The sequence below is a fragment of the Homo sapiens genome, chromosome 1 (genome assembly GCF_000001405.40).
Source record: "Homo sapiens chromosome 1, GRCh38.p14 Primary Assembly".
NCBI lineage: Eukaryota > Metazoa > Chordata > Mammalia > Primates > Hominidae > Homo > Homo sapiens.
Window position 1 is genome coordinate 27,597,300 of NC_000001.11, and position 13,085 is coordinate 27,610,384.

The 13,085-nt window shown below is 57.4% G+C and overlaps 1 protein-coding gene across 20 annotated transcripts in view, besides 11 other annotated features; it reads right to left on the reverse strand.

The window, feature by feature from the left end:
* Window positions 1-6,928, reverse strand: part of AHDC1 (AT-hook DNA binding motif containing 1) — a 69,983-nt gene extending 63,055 nt beyond the window's left edge. For 4 of the 20 annotated variants that reach the window (XM_047418018.1, XM_005245851.4, XM_047418012.1 and 1 more), the window contains exons 1-2: window positions 6,429-6,564; window positions 6,098-6,192 (exon numbers count right to left, since the gene is read on the reverse strand). The gene's annotated coding sequence lies outside the window, so the exon portion shown is untranslated. The other 16 variants (XM_005245852.4, XM_005245849.4, XM_011541256.3 and 13 more) reach the window with 12 other exon arrangements.
* Window positions 637-1,592: an enhancer, noted in NCBI's record as "H3K4me1 hESC enhancer chr1:27924447-27925402 (GRCh37/hg19 assembly coordinates)". NCBI's record gives its function as "activates a minimal SCP1, AML or CMV promoter by ChIP-STARR-seq in naive H9 embryonic stem cells {active_cell/tissue: H9 hESC(naive)}" and the evidence as "EXISTENCE:reporter gene assay evidence [ECO:0000049][PMID:30033119]".
* Window positions 1,593-2,550: an enhancer, noted in NCBI's record as "H3K4me1 hESC enhancer chr1:27925403-27926360 (GRCh37/hg19 assembly coordinates)". NCBI's record gives its function as "activates a minimal SCP1, AML or CMV promoter by ChIP-STARR-seq in naive and primed H9 embryonic stem cells {active_cell/tissue: H9 hESC(naive and primed)}" and the evidence as "EXISTENCE:reporter gene assay evidence [ECO:0000049][PMID:30033119]".
* Window positions 2,551-3,506: an enhancer, noted in NCBI's record as "H3K4me1 hESC enhancer chr1:27926361-27927316 (GRCh37/hg19 assembly coordinates)". NCBI's record gives its function as "activates a minimal SCP1, AML or CMV promoter by ChIP-STARR-seq in naive and primed H9 embryonic stem cells {active_cell/tissue: H9 hESC(naive and primed)}" and the evidence as "EXISTENCE:reporter gene assay evidence [ECO:0000049][PMID:30033119]".
* Window positions 4,217-4,813: an enhancer, noted in NCBI's record as "H3K27ac-H3K4me1 hESC enhancer chr1:27928027-27928623 (GRCh37/hg19 assembly coordinates)". NCBI's record gives its function as "activates a minimal SCP1, AML or CMV promoter by ChIP-STARR-seq in naive H9 embryonic stem cells {active_cell/tissue: H9 hESC(naive)}" and the evidence as "EXISTENCE:reporter gene assay evidence [ECO:0000049][PMID:30033119]".
* Window positions 4,637-4,686: an enhancer, noted in NCBI's record as "active region_558". NCBI's record gives its function as "activates an Ori minimal core promoter by ATAC-STARR-seq in GM12878 lymphoblastoid cells {active_cell/tissue: GM12878}" and the evidence as "EXISTENCE:reporter gene assay evidence [ECO:0000049][PMID:35858748]".
* Window positions 5,487-5,536: an enhancer, noted in NCBI's record as "active region_559". NCBI's record gives its function as "activates an Ori minimal core promoter by ATAC-STARR-seq in GM12878 lymphoblastoid cells {active_cell/tissue: GM12878}" and the evidence as "EXISTENCE:reporter gene assay evidence [ECO:0000049][PMID:35858748]".
* Window positions 6,020-6,099: a silencer, noted in NCBI's record as "silent region_523". NCBI's record gives its function as "represses an Ori minimal core promoter by ATAC-STARR-seq in GM12878 lymphoblastoid cells {active_cell/tissue: GM12878}" and the evidence as "EXISTENCE:reporter gene assay evidence [ECO:0000049][PMID:35858748]".
* Window positions 6,650-7,189: a silencer, noted in NCBI's record as "silent region_524". NCBI's record gives its function as "represses an Ori minimal core promoter by ATAC-STARR-seq in GM12878 lymphoblastoid cells {active_cell/tissue: GM12878}" and the evidence as "EXISTENCE:reporter gene assay evidence [ECO:0000049][PMID:35858748]".
* Window positions 9,119-9,413: an enhancer, noted in NCBI's record as "tiled region #12291; K562 Activating DNase matched - State 5:Enh, and HepG2 Activating DNase unmatched - State 4:PromP". NCBI's record gives its function as "activates a minimal TATA promoter and a strong SV40 promoter by Sharpr-MPRA in K562 cells, with weaker activity in HepG2 cells {active_cell/tissue: K562 | HepG2}" and the evidence as "EXISTENCE:reporter gene assay evidence [ECO:0000049][PMID:27701403]".
* Window positions 9,119-10,153: a biological region, named in NCBI's record as "Sharpr-MPRA regulatory region 12291".
* Window positions 9,305-10,153: an enhancer, noted in NCBI's record as "H3K27ac-H3K4me1 hESC enhancer chr1:27933115-27933963 (GRCh37/hg19 assembly coordinates)". NCBI's record gives its function as "activates a minimal SCP1, AML or CMV promoter by ChIP-STARR-seq in primed H9 embryonic stem cells {active_cell/tissue: H9 hESC(primed)}" and the evidence as "EXISTENCE:reporter gene assay evidence [ECO:0000049][PMID:30033119]".

The following is a 13,085-nucleotide window of genomic DNA, read 5'->3' on the forward strand; positions in this document are numbered from 1 at the left end:
ATGAGTGTGAGGGTGGAGATTTACATGTCACAAATTTGTGTGTGTGTGTGTGTGTGACAGTGTGAGAGTGTGTGTGTGAGAGAGAGAGAGAGAGAGACGCAGGGCCTGTGTAGACAGGTGTGACCGTGGGGGCTGCGTTTATACGAGGGGCATCCCCCGGGTGAATGTGAGGGGGTGTTTCCCAAGACAAGAGAGGTGCACATGTGCATCTGGTGCAGGGGTCAGGGCTGCAGGCCTCTCAGCAACCCCCTCCCCCTATGAAAAGAGGAGCAGGGAGCAAGGGGCTCTGGGCGGCTTCTCTCTCTTGCTCTTTCTCCCTGACCTCTTTAGCAGCTGGAAACTGAGCCGGGGGTGGAAGGAATGGAGACTTGGCTGGCCTGGGGGTTTGGGGAGGGAAGAGGGAGAAAACACCTTCCAGATTCTCATCAAATCCCTGTTTGTGGTTTGCAGCCTGCAGTCTTCTCCCTCCCTCTCCCTCCCTCTCTCTGTCTGTCTGGGTTTCCCCCTTTCTTTATCTCTTCCTGTCTCTCAGCCTCCCCATCTCTCTCCTTCTCCATCTCAGTCACTCTGTCTCCTTTCTTTTCTCTAAGTCTCTGTCTTCCATTTTTCTGCCTCCTCCTCTCTCTGCCAGCACCTCTGTCTGTCCGTCTCTCCCTGTCCCAGTCCATCTGTCCGTCTCTCTCCGTCTGTCTGTGTGTGGGTGTCTCTGTCCATCTGTTTCACCACCCATCTGTCTGGCTGTCTGTGTTAGTCCTTCCAAGGGTGCCCACTCGCTCCCCAAGGCACCCTCCCCCAGGTCAGCAAGGCCTCTCCTGGCTCAGGGGGTGGGGAGGGGGTGCAGAGCTGCAGCTTCTGGAAGCTTCAGTGGCAGCTGGGCTGAATTGGGAGTTCGGGGCCAGCCAGCTGCAGAAGCAGCCCCTCCCCTGGGCTCCCAGGCCAAGGACCCCAGAGCAGAAGAGGAGAGAAAACAGGGCCTCATTGCAGTTGGGTTTGTGTGTGTGGTGGAGGGGGCTGGAAGGGGGCTGGAGGGAGGCAGGGCCTCACTTTACTCTCACTTCACCATTGCCCCCGGAGCCAGGCCCTGCAGGAGAGGGATCCTTGATGCCCACCTTCCTCATCCCCTGGCCAATGGAAGAGATGCTGGGATCCAGGAGGGAGGGGCCAGGAGAGGCCAGGCCTTGGGCGAAGGAGGGGCTGGGAGCCAGGGCTTCCTGTCAGCTGGGCTGGAGGGGGGCTCCTTCCCTCCTCCTTTCCAGGCAGTCCCTGGGGACCCCTCCTGCTCTGGTCCCAGTTCCAGGCATGAGGGGTTGTTCTTGCCAACTGCACTGGGGCCATTCCCACCTCCATCTACCCATAGGGACGTGGGGGGATCACACCAGTGTCACCCCCACAACAGTGGAGGCTGGTTTTGGCCATGTAGTGACCCTGGCCCTGTCTAGGCACTGGCCATCCTGAATCTAGCACCTCACACACAAATATATACAGTGCATCCCAGTGCTCACCGCCTGCCCAAGCCCCCCAACACCAGCATCCACCGTCATGACATGAACGCAGAGACCAGCACCCTACCTTGCACTGGTGACAGCGCCCCCGTCACAAAGCCAGCAGCTTCAGACAGCATCCCTTAACATTCTCCCTGGCTACTCTGTCCCTGTCCCCCACTCCCTCTCCAATAGCTCACAGTCCAAATCCCACAATGGATGGGGAAACTGAGGCCCAAGAGGAAGGGATGGGAGGACACAGTCATCCCTCCTGAGACCCTGGGGTAGGATCATAAATGAGGAAAGAAGAAAGAGATGCTGCAGGGGCAGAATCAGGCTCCTTCCTGACCTACCATGGGTAAAGTCCATATTGGCTACACCCTCCACACAGCCCTACCACAGGGCCAGGGCCAGGGCCAGGGCCAGGGGCTGGCTCCCTCCCTCTCGAGCTCTCCTTGCCCCTGGTTGGGCCCCCTCCCTCTCCTCCCTTCTGAGCAGCCCTCCCTGCCCTCTCCCTCCCAGCTCTGGCTCTCTCATCCTCAGCTCTTGGAAGCCTGACTCACTGTTTCCCCTCCTCTCTCGCCTCCCTCCCTCTCTCTCCCGGCAGCAGCGGCGCCTCCCCCTCCCCTGGGGGGGCTCTGGCCACAAGGGTGCCTGCCTGCTTCTCTCCCCAGGCTCCGGCCCCCTCCACTCCCAGGAGGCCCCCTGCAGCTGTTCCAATTCTCTAACTACAGTGAGGTGGAGTGCAAACAGCCCAGGTCCCAGCCTGGTCTTGCCAAAGGTATCTGTGACCCTGAGCAAGTGGCTCCTCTCCCTAGACTTGGCTTTCTCTCGTCAAACAAGTGGGGGGCGTCCAACTGGATGATGCTCCTGGCACCTCTGGGACCCTAATGTTTCCCGCTTTTATAACCTGGGTGTCTTTTGGCACAGAGCACCTGACAACCTGTAGGGTGCAGTACCTGCCACAGGCCACGCCCCCCCGGGTCCCAAGAAAAGCTCAGCTCTGTTCCAGGCATTTGGGGAGGGCAGAAGGGAGATGCTACCCTGGGACCTGAAACATTTGTTGAAAACCCTGGAATCTGTCTCCCCATTCTCCCTCCTCCTGTGAGAGTCTCTCTCTCTCTCCCACCTGTCCTCCTCCCTCTTCCCAAACATCTGCTTGTCTCTCCTCCAAAAACAACCCCAGAATCTGATCTTGGGTGAGAGGACCTCAGGGCTGCCTCCTCTCTGGCTCCAGGGAGGGGAGTGGTATATTCCTAGGCCTTCTTGGTCCCCGGCCCCCACCTCCAGGGGCTGTAATTCCAGATTTTCTTGCCTGTTTTCTCTTTCACTCTCATCACTGGCTTTGGTCTCCATCTTTCTCTCTCTTCACCATGCATGTGGTTGTGGGTCGCTCCCCCGCCCCCCTCCCTGGGGGGGGCCCATCTGCAGGCATTAGCAACAATGTTACCCTTGCTTCCTCCCATAGTCCCCAGCTCCACTCCATCCTGGCTTCCGCCTCCCCACTCTGTCCCAAGAGACCCAGGGGACCCAGAGACAGAGCTGGGCTCCATCCCATAATAGTGAGTCTGCTTGACCTCACCAAGCCAGACCAGAAGGGCCTGGGCATCTGGTACACAGGCATGGCACCCCCTGGTCTTGGGTGGCTGGCATGAGACACAGAGCTCTGTGTTCTACAAACCAAAAAAAAAAAACAAAAAAAATTGAAATTGACCTGGGGGTGGGACAGAAGAGGGGAAGGGGGAAATGAGGGAGATCAGGTTTGCCTGGAGGAAGCCCCTGTCCAATGGGGAACAGAAGCATAGAGGTGGGAGTGGTTCAAAGTCAGTGCTCCAGGCTGATTGGAGAACAACAATGTCCCTCTGGGGCTCTGCCAGTCCAGAACAGCTCCCCCTACCCAAATGTCTTCTGCCAGGGGCAGTCTGCCCCTCAAGCCTCCAGCACAACCACAGCAATCAGGTGGAGACCCCATCTTTTAACCTTTTGAATCCAAGTCCAACTTCCCTACTGTACACCTCCACTTAGCTCAGCAGGGGGTTCCAGAAGCCTCCCAGCCCAGATCTAAGCCCATGCAGTGGGGGTAACAAAGTCCCCCAGCTCCCAAACCCCTTCCCCAAAGGCCCCATCAAGGGCTGGGGAGCAATGCAAAATAACCCCAGAACCCTCACGCATTGAAACTGAGAAGCTATGCTGTCCCACAGCGCCTGAGGGTGGTAGGGGCTCCCTGCCCCCACGACCCTGTTCCAGACCCCCCAGCCCAGCAACAATAATAAACAGCAAGCTCTTTTTCTTTATGACACCAAATTTCTCCAAGCCCAACAGCTCCTTCCATCACTACCTCAGCCATAGATCACATTAAAAACTCACAGAGGGCAACTTAAACACATCACATTTGTTTCTCTCTATATTATTTCAAAAGTAACGGCATTAAAAATGGATTTTACTACAGAAAATAAATATCGGCACGTGGGCTGGGAGCCCAGGCGGAGGAGAGCGCCCACCAGGGGAACGTTCCTGAGGGCTTGGGCACAGTTAGGCACTGACCAGACTAGAAAGGCCAGACTACACCTTGGGCTTGTGGGTGATTCCTGGGGAGGGGGCAATGCCTGCCCACCTGGGCATCTGCCCCAAAGCCAGATGAAGAAGGACAACTCACTGGTTTGGGCTGGTAGCCACTGGTCCCCCAAAGCTTATGCCCTTACTGGTCTTTGCAACCCCTGAAGAGTGGGAGCTCTGGGGCCAGAAGTTCACCAGTCTCTGGGGATTACTCCAACTATTGACACAGCAGGAGAAAAAAATGAATTCAACTTACTATCCAGTTTGATTTTCCATTACTATAAAAATAAATATACATCTGCTCAAAGGAGGGAGATGGCAAGCAGCATGCACATGCCACCTGGGGGGTCCCCCCACAACCCAGCCTTCCTACCCCCCCACCCCAGGTTGGGGGACAGACTGGTAATCTTTCACTTACAGCCCCAGCTCACACAGCCACACAGAACAGGAACAAGCCAACAATAGAAACACCCCAAATGCCCCTGGCAGGACTCTGCCCAGGCCCGGGCACATGCCCCCGCCCAGCCGGCGGCGACAGCAGCAGCGGACAAAATGTGGCCACCCTGACCCGGAGGCAAAGCTTGTCCTCACACCCTGAGCTCTGCCCAGGGAGCTGGGGCCAAGTCCCGCCTGACACCAACTGGTCCGGCGGGAAACGCCTGCCCAGCCAGACAGGCACAGGCCCCCCAAGGGTCCCTCCTTGTGCTCAGGGACCAGGCTGGTACAGTCCGGCCCTGCCTCCCAGGGTGACGCCTGGGCCCAAATTCAGCTGGCCCTGCCAGTCAGGCACTGGTGCAGAACCGAGGGCACCAGGCTCAGCCCCTCCCAGCCCAGCCCCAGGGCCCCCAAGCTGGGAGGGAGGGGAGACTCCCCACCCCTCCACATCTGGCCCTGGCCCCCAGGGTCTGCGGTAGAGAATTCCCGCCCCCGCTTCTCTCCCTCCTCCCGCTCTGTGCCCGCTGCCCGCCTCAGGGACAGCCCCAGCTCCCGCCTCCGGCCAGCAAGGCCCACATCCTTCCTCCCTCAGCTGGCCCCTTCGCCTGGCAGGAGGCTGGGGGGTCAGGCTGCTGGGGAACCCCCCCAAGCTCCCATCAGTCCTCATCCCCAGCCCCCAAACTCTGGGTTGCTGTCCCTTTTCCTGTAGAACAGGAAACAAGGTTATTTCCTAGACTCAGAGCCAGCCCCCTGCCCCTCTGGCTCTGCCCGGGGACCCAGACCCAGCAGGGGAAGGCGCCCTCAAGCAGCGAGCAGAGATTCAGCAATTCACCCCAGCTCCCTGCCTAGGGGGCTGACAGCTGTCACTCAGCACCCCACCCCCTGGGGAAGAGGGGGCCGATTCAATCAGAGCCCCAGAGGAAACGCATTGATAGGCGATTATTTATTTATTTATGCAAAAGTGAGCCGACTTTGTTCGCCAGGTAACCGGGCACGCGGCCCAACCCCTCCAGCCCTAGCCGCCCCCAAATCCCTCCTCCGCCCCACACCCCCTCCGGGTCATTAGGTCCCCGCCCCTCAACTCCCCGAGAGCCAGTGGATCCTAGGGATTTGGGGGTTGGAGGGGAGGGGCTCCTCCCTCCGCAGTCTCCCCTTTTCCCAGCGCCGATCCTAAAATCCAGCCTTGTTCTCCGCTCCCACGGTCCCCCCTTCATTCCCCCCCCCCCCACATTCTCAGCAAGCTGGAGAGCAAATTGCAGTTTTAAATCCAAAGGCGGAGGGAGGGGGAAGGAGGAGGGGGCGCGCGGCAGCGCTGGGCGCGCACCTCGCCCCCGAGCCGGGGGAGCCGCGGGGCGGCCAGGAAACCCGAGAACCCCCCCTCCCCGCCCCCCCTCCCCGTCCACCTCCCCCTCCCCCTTCCCGGCGCTGCCTGCCAGGCTTCGAGCCGAGCCCAGCCGAGCCGCGGGCCCCGGTGGAAACAAAGACCGATCGCACCGCGGGCACCGCAGCCACCGGGTCCAGCGGACCGGACCGGGGGACGCAGGCCCCCCCCGTGCGCTGCACAAAAGAGCCTGGCCGGCCGGTCCCCAGCGGGGGTCTGGGGCTGGGGAGGAGGCGCCACTCACCGGAGTGCTGGGCTGCCGGCTCCGTGGGTCCGAGCCAGGCGAGGGGTTTTGGGGGACGTCTGTCTTCCGGCGGTGGCAGCGACGCGGGCGCCCGGCTGCTGAGGAGAGGAGTCGTGGAGGAGCCCTGAGCCGCCCGCCGTCGCTGACAGCATGGCTCGCGCCTCGGCTCACATTCTCCGCCGCTAACTCCGCTGGACACGGCCCCCCGCTCCCGCGGCGCCCCCCCACCTCGATCACTCCTTCGCTCTCTCTGCGCCCCCCTCGCCCTCCCGCCGCGCACACACTCTCCCAGCCCTGGACACCCCCGCCCCCACCCCCCCCAATAGCAAACCTGGGAGGGAACGCGCCCCGCGTAGTCCTCCTGCTCCTCCTCCTCCGCCCTCCTCCCTCCCGCTCTCTCTGGCTGTCTGTCTGTCTCTCAGACTGTCTCTATTTCTCGCTCTCTCTGCCTTTCTCTGCTCTCCAAGCTGGGTGGGAAAAGGAAATGAGGACAGAAAGCAGACGCTGGCTTTGGGTGGTGGTAGCTGGATTCCCTCTCTCCCTCCCTCCCCCTCCTCCCCTCCCTCCTCCTGCCTTCTGCTCTCTCCGCTGCGAGCGGGGCTGAGCGCAGCCTGGCGGGTGGCTCGCTCTGCCCGCCCGCCCGCCTGTCTGTCTGTCTGGTCCGCCTCGCTCGCTCCCTCCCTCCGTCTCTCGCCCTCGCCCTGCCTGCCTGCCTCTCTCCGTCTCCGCCGCCGCCGCCGCTGCCTCTGCGAGCTCGCCTTACCTTCGCCGCTCACCATCCGGAACCCCAGGGGGGAGCGCGCGCGCGGCACGCCGGGACTTGTAGTCCCCGCCCCGGCCGCTCCGCGCGCGGGGAGGGCGGGGCCGCGCCGGCTGCTCCGACGGCGCGGCCAGGAGCCCCGGGGACCCCGCGCCTGGGGCTCGTCTGGCTGGAGCGCGTCCTCGTTTACCAACGGGCGAAGATCCTCCCCAAGGGTTAAGAATGGTCCCTGTGTTCCTTGTCTCCACCGGGGGGCTCTGGATCGAGCGGAGGTTGCGGGTGGGAGTGAAGGGGCGGGGTCTGAGAGTGGAATGGGAGTGGAATAGGGAACCAGGGGATTAGCCAAAGGGGCTGCGACTTTCTGGGGCGTCCCAATTAAATGGGAGGGGGAGAGGGCAGAGGAGAGGACCGGCTCTCTCAATCTGGGGACGTTATCCTTTTCTGAAAAGGTTTCTTATTGAGTAAAGCTCAAGTATATATGGCGGGAGGGCTGCTGGGGCGGGGGAGCGGGGGAGACCCAGCCAGCGCTGCTTCCTCACTCAGTGACCCCTCCTCTCAAACTCCGACCTCGGTTTCGCCCTTGCAACTCCCAGCTTTCCTATATGTCCAAGGGCGGCGAGGGCTCAAAAGTCCTGGATAATCCGCAGATAGAACACACACACCCTTTTCCGAATTCTGCTGAGCATTTGCGTTGTGTCAGGAAGCAGGATTCAGATTGAACGGTGCTGACCTCCTGCCGCGGCCGGGGGCTGGGCTCAGCACTTTCACCTACCTCCTCTTCAGGTCACATGTGTTCTCCAGCCCCTGCCTAGCCTATCCCACAGATGGGAATGTGCGCTGCTTGGGGGCCTTGTTACCGCCCCCGGAGATGGCTGAACTGCTGCGGTAAAATAGTGCTGTTATTTCCATTTTAGAGATGGGGGCACTGAGGTCCAGGTTCTCCAGTTAGCAAGTGGCTGAACCCAGCTGGATTTGAACCAGGGTCTGACTAACTCCAAACCCCACAAGCTTAACCCCTGGGCTATGACAAGGAGTTGTGACTCCCTCCATTTCTGTAACTGACCTTCTCTCCCTGTGTCTGTGTGTCCTTTCTTGGCACTTCAACAAATGTTAACTGAGGTATGCAGGGCTTGCAAGGGACACGGAGATGAATAATGCATAGTGGCTGTCGTGTCCTGTGTCCTAGGTGTCTACCAACGCCGGCCCTGACTGGCCCTGCGGCGGTCCCACCTCACTGGACCACCTCATCTGTGTGTCTGATGTTCCACACCCTGTGTCTGCTGGCCTTGTCTATCTTGCTCCAGGTCTGAAGTTCCTAGAGCAGTGCCTTTGTCTCTGGCCTACCTGTTTCTGACTCTTCCTTTGGCCTTGCAGGGTGTTGGCCAGTGTGTGACAAAGGCAGCTGGTGACATTTTGCCAACCGCAACTCCCTGGTCACTATCTTCCCCACACCTTCACTCCTTCCAAGCTCCTTCTCTATGGCAGTCCAGTACCCCCAGAGGACAAGAGAGGGGATCTGGGGAACACTCTCTATTGGCCCTTGGCAGAGGGTGTGTGCAGCAGTAATAGGAGAGGTCTAGGGCTCTAAACGGGACACTATTGATTTGGCATCATGGGGCTGCCATGACCGACTGGAGAGGCCCTCATCTTGGAGCAGCTTCTCCTTGCAGACAAGTTAGGACTTGGGTTCAAAGATTTATTCATTGAATGGGAAATATAAGGTCAGATGCTCATAAAAGTAGTGGCTAAAGTCATTAGAGATTCTGCAGCTCCAAAGCCTGGGCCTGAAGTGATCCCAAATAGATGAGGCTTTGGCACCTTGCCCTAGCTGGCCCCCTATAGGACAGACAGACTTCGGCGTTGGGGAGGGTGAAAGAGACCCAGGTTCCTCCTCCTTTCTCTCCCTTCCCCCATTACCCATTAGATTCTGCCTGTAGTCATGAAGACTCTACTCAGTTTGAATCAAGTTTTAGGAGGGAGTTGGGTGGGATAATATAGGATGGTTTCTGGGGTGTGGAGAGCCCCAGTAGGTTGAGATGAAGGGGAGTTTGGGAAAAGCATGGGAGGGGGAGGTTAAGTAATGAGATGCAGAGGGCAAGATTAGTAGGGCCCATGGCTCTATGAGTTAGAGGGAAATAGAAGTTAGGTAGGGTTTCTCGAGCATGCCCCTCCCACCCCAGGCTACTTCAGCGGTCCCCTTCCCCTGTGAGGGTGAATTCCATTGGCCCTTAAAGTGTTGATCATCACTGGAAACCAAGCATTGCAGAGTCTCCCTGTTATTTGGGGGCTGGTCTTTTTCGTGGAGCCTCTCCAAATTGTGTTGAGTTTGGCGGGGGGTGGTCTCCCCAAACTCAAGTTGTCTTCCCGTGGGCTGCTGCTGCCACCTAGTGTCTAATCTTCGTTTCTGCTTCAGCAGTTGTCAGCGAGCAGGAGGGAAAGAAGGCTTGAGGCAGAGGACACAGGTTCTGGAAGAGCCTGCATCATCCCTCTCTGGGCTCAGCTCCCTCCAGCCGCTTTTGTTTCGGTGTAAGCAGAAGGTGGTGTAGCTAGACCCTGGAAAATAAAGATGAGAGTCTGGAATGGGGCCTTGGGTTTGAGAGGCCATGTGGAGCAGGAGCTAGACAGGCCTGGTCCTGATCTTGATTTTACTTGTGTGTCCTCAATCTGTGTGAGTCTCAGTTTTCCCATGTGTAAAATAGAAGCAGAGCTGTTGAGAAGATTAACTGAGCATATAGATGTAAAAGCACTGTGAAAACTGGCAAGGGCATGGTGAGAGAGATGATGAGTCACACTAATAATGACAATAACTGACAGGTCCCAGCAGCCTGGAGCCAGGCCCCCAGACCTCATGGAAAGGGCAGGATGAAGTGAGTCTTGGGTAGGGACTAGCACGGCCCTCCCTGAATATGGAAGTTCTGGGGGTGGCCCTACTCCTGGGGCTGCTCAGGAGAGGTGTGGACTGCTAGAGGGTGGTTCAGCCCAGTATGCAGAAGGGGAGACGGAGGCTTAGAGAGGTTGCGGGCCTATCCTAAGCTATTGAGCTGCAGATCCAGGAACAAGAGGCCCATTGGACTGGAGCCATTATGGCCCTGGTTTTCCCCTTCTTTGGATGGGAACAGCTCAAAGCTGGAGCCCAAGAGACCACGCAAGCAGGAAGCCTCCCTCATTGTGGTACAGTGGGGACTAAGGCCCCCAGGCTCTGTTAGCCCTCCTCCTGGGCCAGCCCCTTTCCCCTCCCCCGTGCAAGTCCTCCCACATTCCTCTAGGCCACAGGAAACCCCAGCTGCAGCCCAGACTTCAAACAGCTCCTCCCTCTGGGGCAGGGGGTGTGGGAGGAGAGGCCAGAGGCCAGAGGGCAAAGGTCAGCTTTGTTCCTGCCGGAGGTGGTGAGGGACCTGGGGGAGACAGAGGGGGAGCAGGGTCGGGCCCTTGACAGCCACACTGAGTGTGTGTGAATTCCTGTGGCCGTCAGGGTTGTGTGATTCCCGCTGTGCGCCTGTGTCTGGGGGGTAACCCTGTGTCCTCGGTTTGCTTTCGCTTGCAGGCCTGACTTCTGTGTCTGAGTGTGAAGCAGTGCATGTTTGTCTGTGGGTGCTCAGCCTGGGATCCCACTGACACGTCTGTAGGTGCCATTACTTGTATCGCTATGTCTGGTTCATAGGCGCGGTCAAAGCTGTGTGTCCTATGAGTGTGACCTGGTATGGTTCTTTGTGTCCCAGAGGGGTGTCCGTCTCCTGCCTCTTCGCCTCCTATCTTTCCTCTCCATTGTCACCAAAGAGTTCCTTCTGAAAGTGAATCTGGCTGGGCGCAGTGGCTCATGCCTGTAATCCCAGCAGTTTGGGAGGCCGAGGCGGGCGGATCACTTGAGGTCAGGAGTTCGAGATAACCCTGGCCAATATGGCAAAACCCCGTGTCTACTAAAAATACAAAAATAAGCCAGGCGTGGTGGCTCCCGCCTGTAGTCCCAGCTACTTGGGAGGCTGAGGCAGGAGAATCACTTGAACCCGGGAGGCAGAGGTTGCAGTGAGCTGAGATGGCACCACTGCACTCCAGCCTGGGCAACAGTGAGACTCCGTCTAAAAAAAAAAAAAAAAGTGAATCTGACCTGCTCAAAACCCTTCAGTGGCTCCCCATTGTCCAAGGCTTAGGATCCCAGCTTGAGTGCATGGTAGACAAGACCCATGCCTGCCTTTGCCATCTTCATCTTTAGCCACTAACCCCTCTGAAATTTCACATTCCTAGCACACCTACCTAATTGTAACTCCCTGAGCAGTCTCATTTCTTGCCTTTGAGCTCACTTAATTCTGTCCAGTCTGGAATGTCCTTCTGTTGCTTCTTTCTTTACCAAGCAAACTCTTACTCTTGTTTCTGATGAATCAACACCTCCTCTGAGAAGCCTCCCAGACTTCCCCCTGCCCAGTTGAGTTAGGACTCTCCCCTGTTCTCCCACATAGCTTTATTGTCATTTTCTGCCCGCATCTGTCCTGTTAGCACCCATCACCATTAAACTGTGACCTCTTTGAGAGCAGGAACTGTGCCATATCTCCTGTCCTGTGGTGGGAAGTTTCTGAAGAGACCTGGTTCTCCCATCCCGGGAGGGGGGAAAGTTTCTTGCAGTTTTGGATGTAGTACTCAGAGTCACCACTAGAGAGAGTGTGAACATCACTGCAGGACCATCCAGGCTCGTGTGTGTGTGTGTGTGTGTGTGTGTGTGTGTGTGTGTGTGTCTTCGATACTGTACCTGGGGTGTGTGTGTGTGTGTGTGTGTGTGTCTTCAATACTGTACCTGGGGTATGTGTGTGTGTGTGTGTCTTCGATACTGTACCTGGGGTGTGTGTGTGTGTGTGTGTGTGTGTGTGTGTGTGTGTGTGTCTTCGATACTGTACCTGGTGGAGTGGAGAGAGGATCCACTCAGCTCAGTCCCGGAGCAGTGGGATCCAGAGTAGACTCCATTCCCCACAATAAGTCCTGGGTCCCCCAGATTTCTTCTTTCTTTTCCCCACAACTCAGAGCCCATACCCCTTGGCTTTCCCCCTCCTACTTCTTGCCTCTGACTCTCCATCCCTCGTCTTCCATGCCTCATCTGCACCCTCAGCCCTCCCATGCCTAATTATTGGCACTTGCCTGGCCTGAATGGGCCTTACTCTACCATACGTCTGGGCCTTTGCACATGCTGTTCCCTCTGCTGGAGATGACCTCACCCTCTGGCTGCTTCATCAGGCAGACTTTTATTTCACAGACTCCAAGAAATCCCCCAGACTTGGCTCCCAGACTGACCTTGCCCCTAAGTGTTGTCATTGTTTACTGTTTTGCCTCCTAGACAGGACCAGCCTACAGGAGACATCAGTAGATGTGTGTGAAATTAATAAATGACTTAGTTCTTTTACGAGTACAATCCTCAGCATGTAGGGAGCTACCCCTGAGCCCTACGTGCACCAGGCCCTTCCTGGACCTGACTCTGGGTCAATATGACACTTTCCCATGCTGCTCCTTCAAATAAAGAAATGTGACCCGGGGAACACATGAGACTTTGAGTTCAAATCCTGGCTGTACCATCCACCTGTATGACCTTGAGCCAGTGTTGTAGCCTCTCAGAGTCTTGTTTCCTCTTTTGTAAAATGGGGATAATCACACATCTGCGCTGCCTTGTGGTGAAGATCAAATTAGATGATGCATGCAAAATACCCGCATTAGTCAATTAGGTGTCCTCCTCCCCCACCATGAACTTGGAAATAAAATTGCCCTCTGAGTCTTAAACCAGTAAAATCCACGCATCACGGAGGAGAAGAGCCAGGTGGGGGAGTGAATGAGGCGAGAGATGGTTTTGTAAACGACTGAAGAGTTTTGTGAACGGTGCAAACCGCAATCAAGGTGACCCGCCTGTAATCTCAGGGAGGCAGGGCGAGGATGTGATTGAAATTGAGAAAGCAGAAGCCTAATCAATTGCATTGTGCTCTATCTGAAGGGAACAGAAGGCTGCACAGAAAACGGGGTGCAAGGGAGAATTCATCTAGCTGTTTCAGAGGGAGAGACAAGGAAGGCACCAGTAGACACAGGGATTCCAGGCTCAGGAGGCTCTGGTCTCTACTGAGGAGCAGCGAGGGCCCTGGTGAACTCCAGGTGGTTCACTGCCCTGCTGGGCTTTCATTGAAACCAAACGGGCATCCTGGTACCAGACAGAGCCCTGTAGGGCAGACAAGAATATTCTGGTCCCAGAAAAAGGCTGTG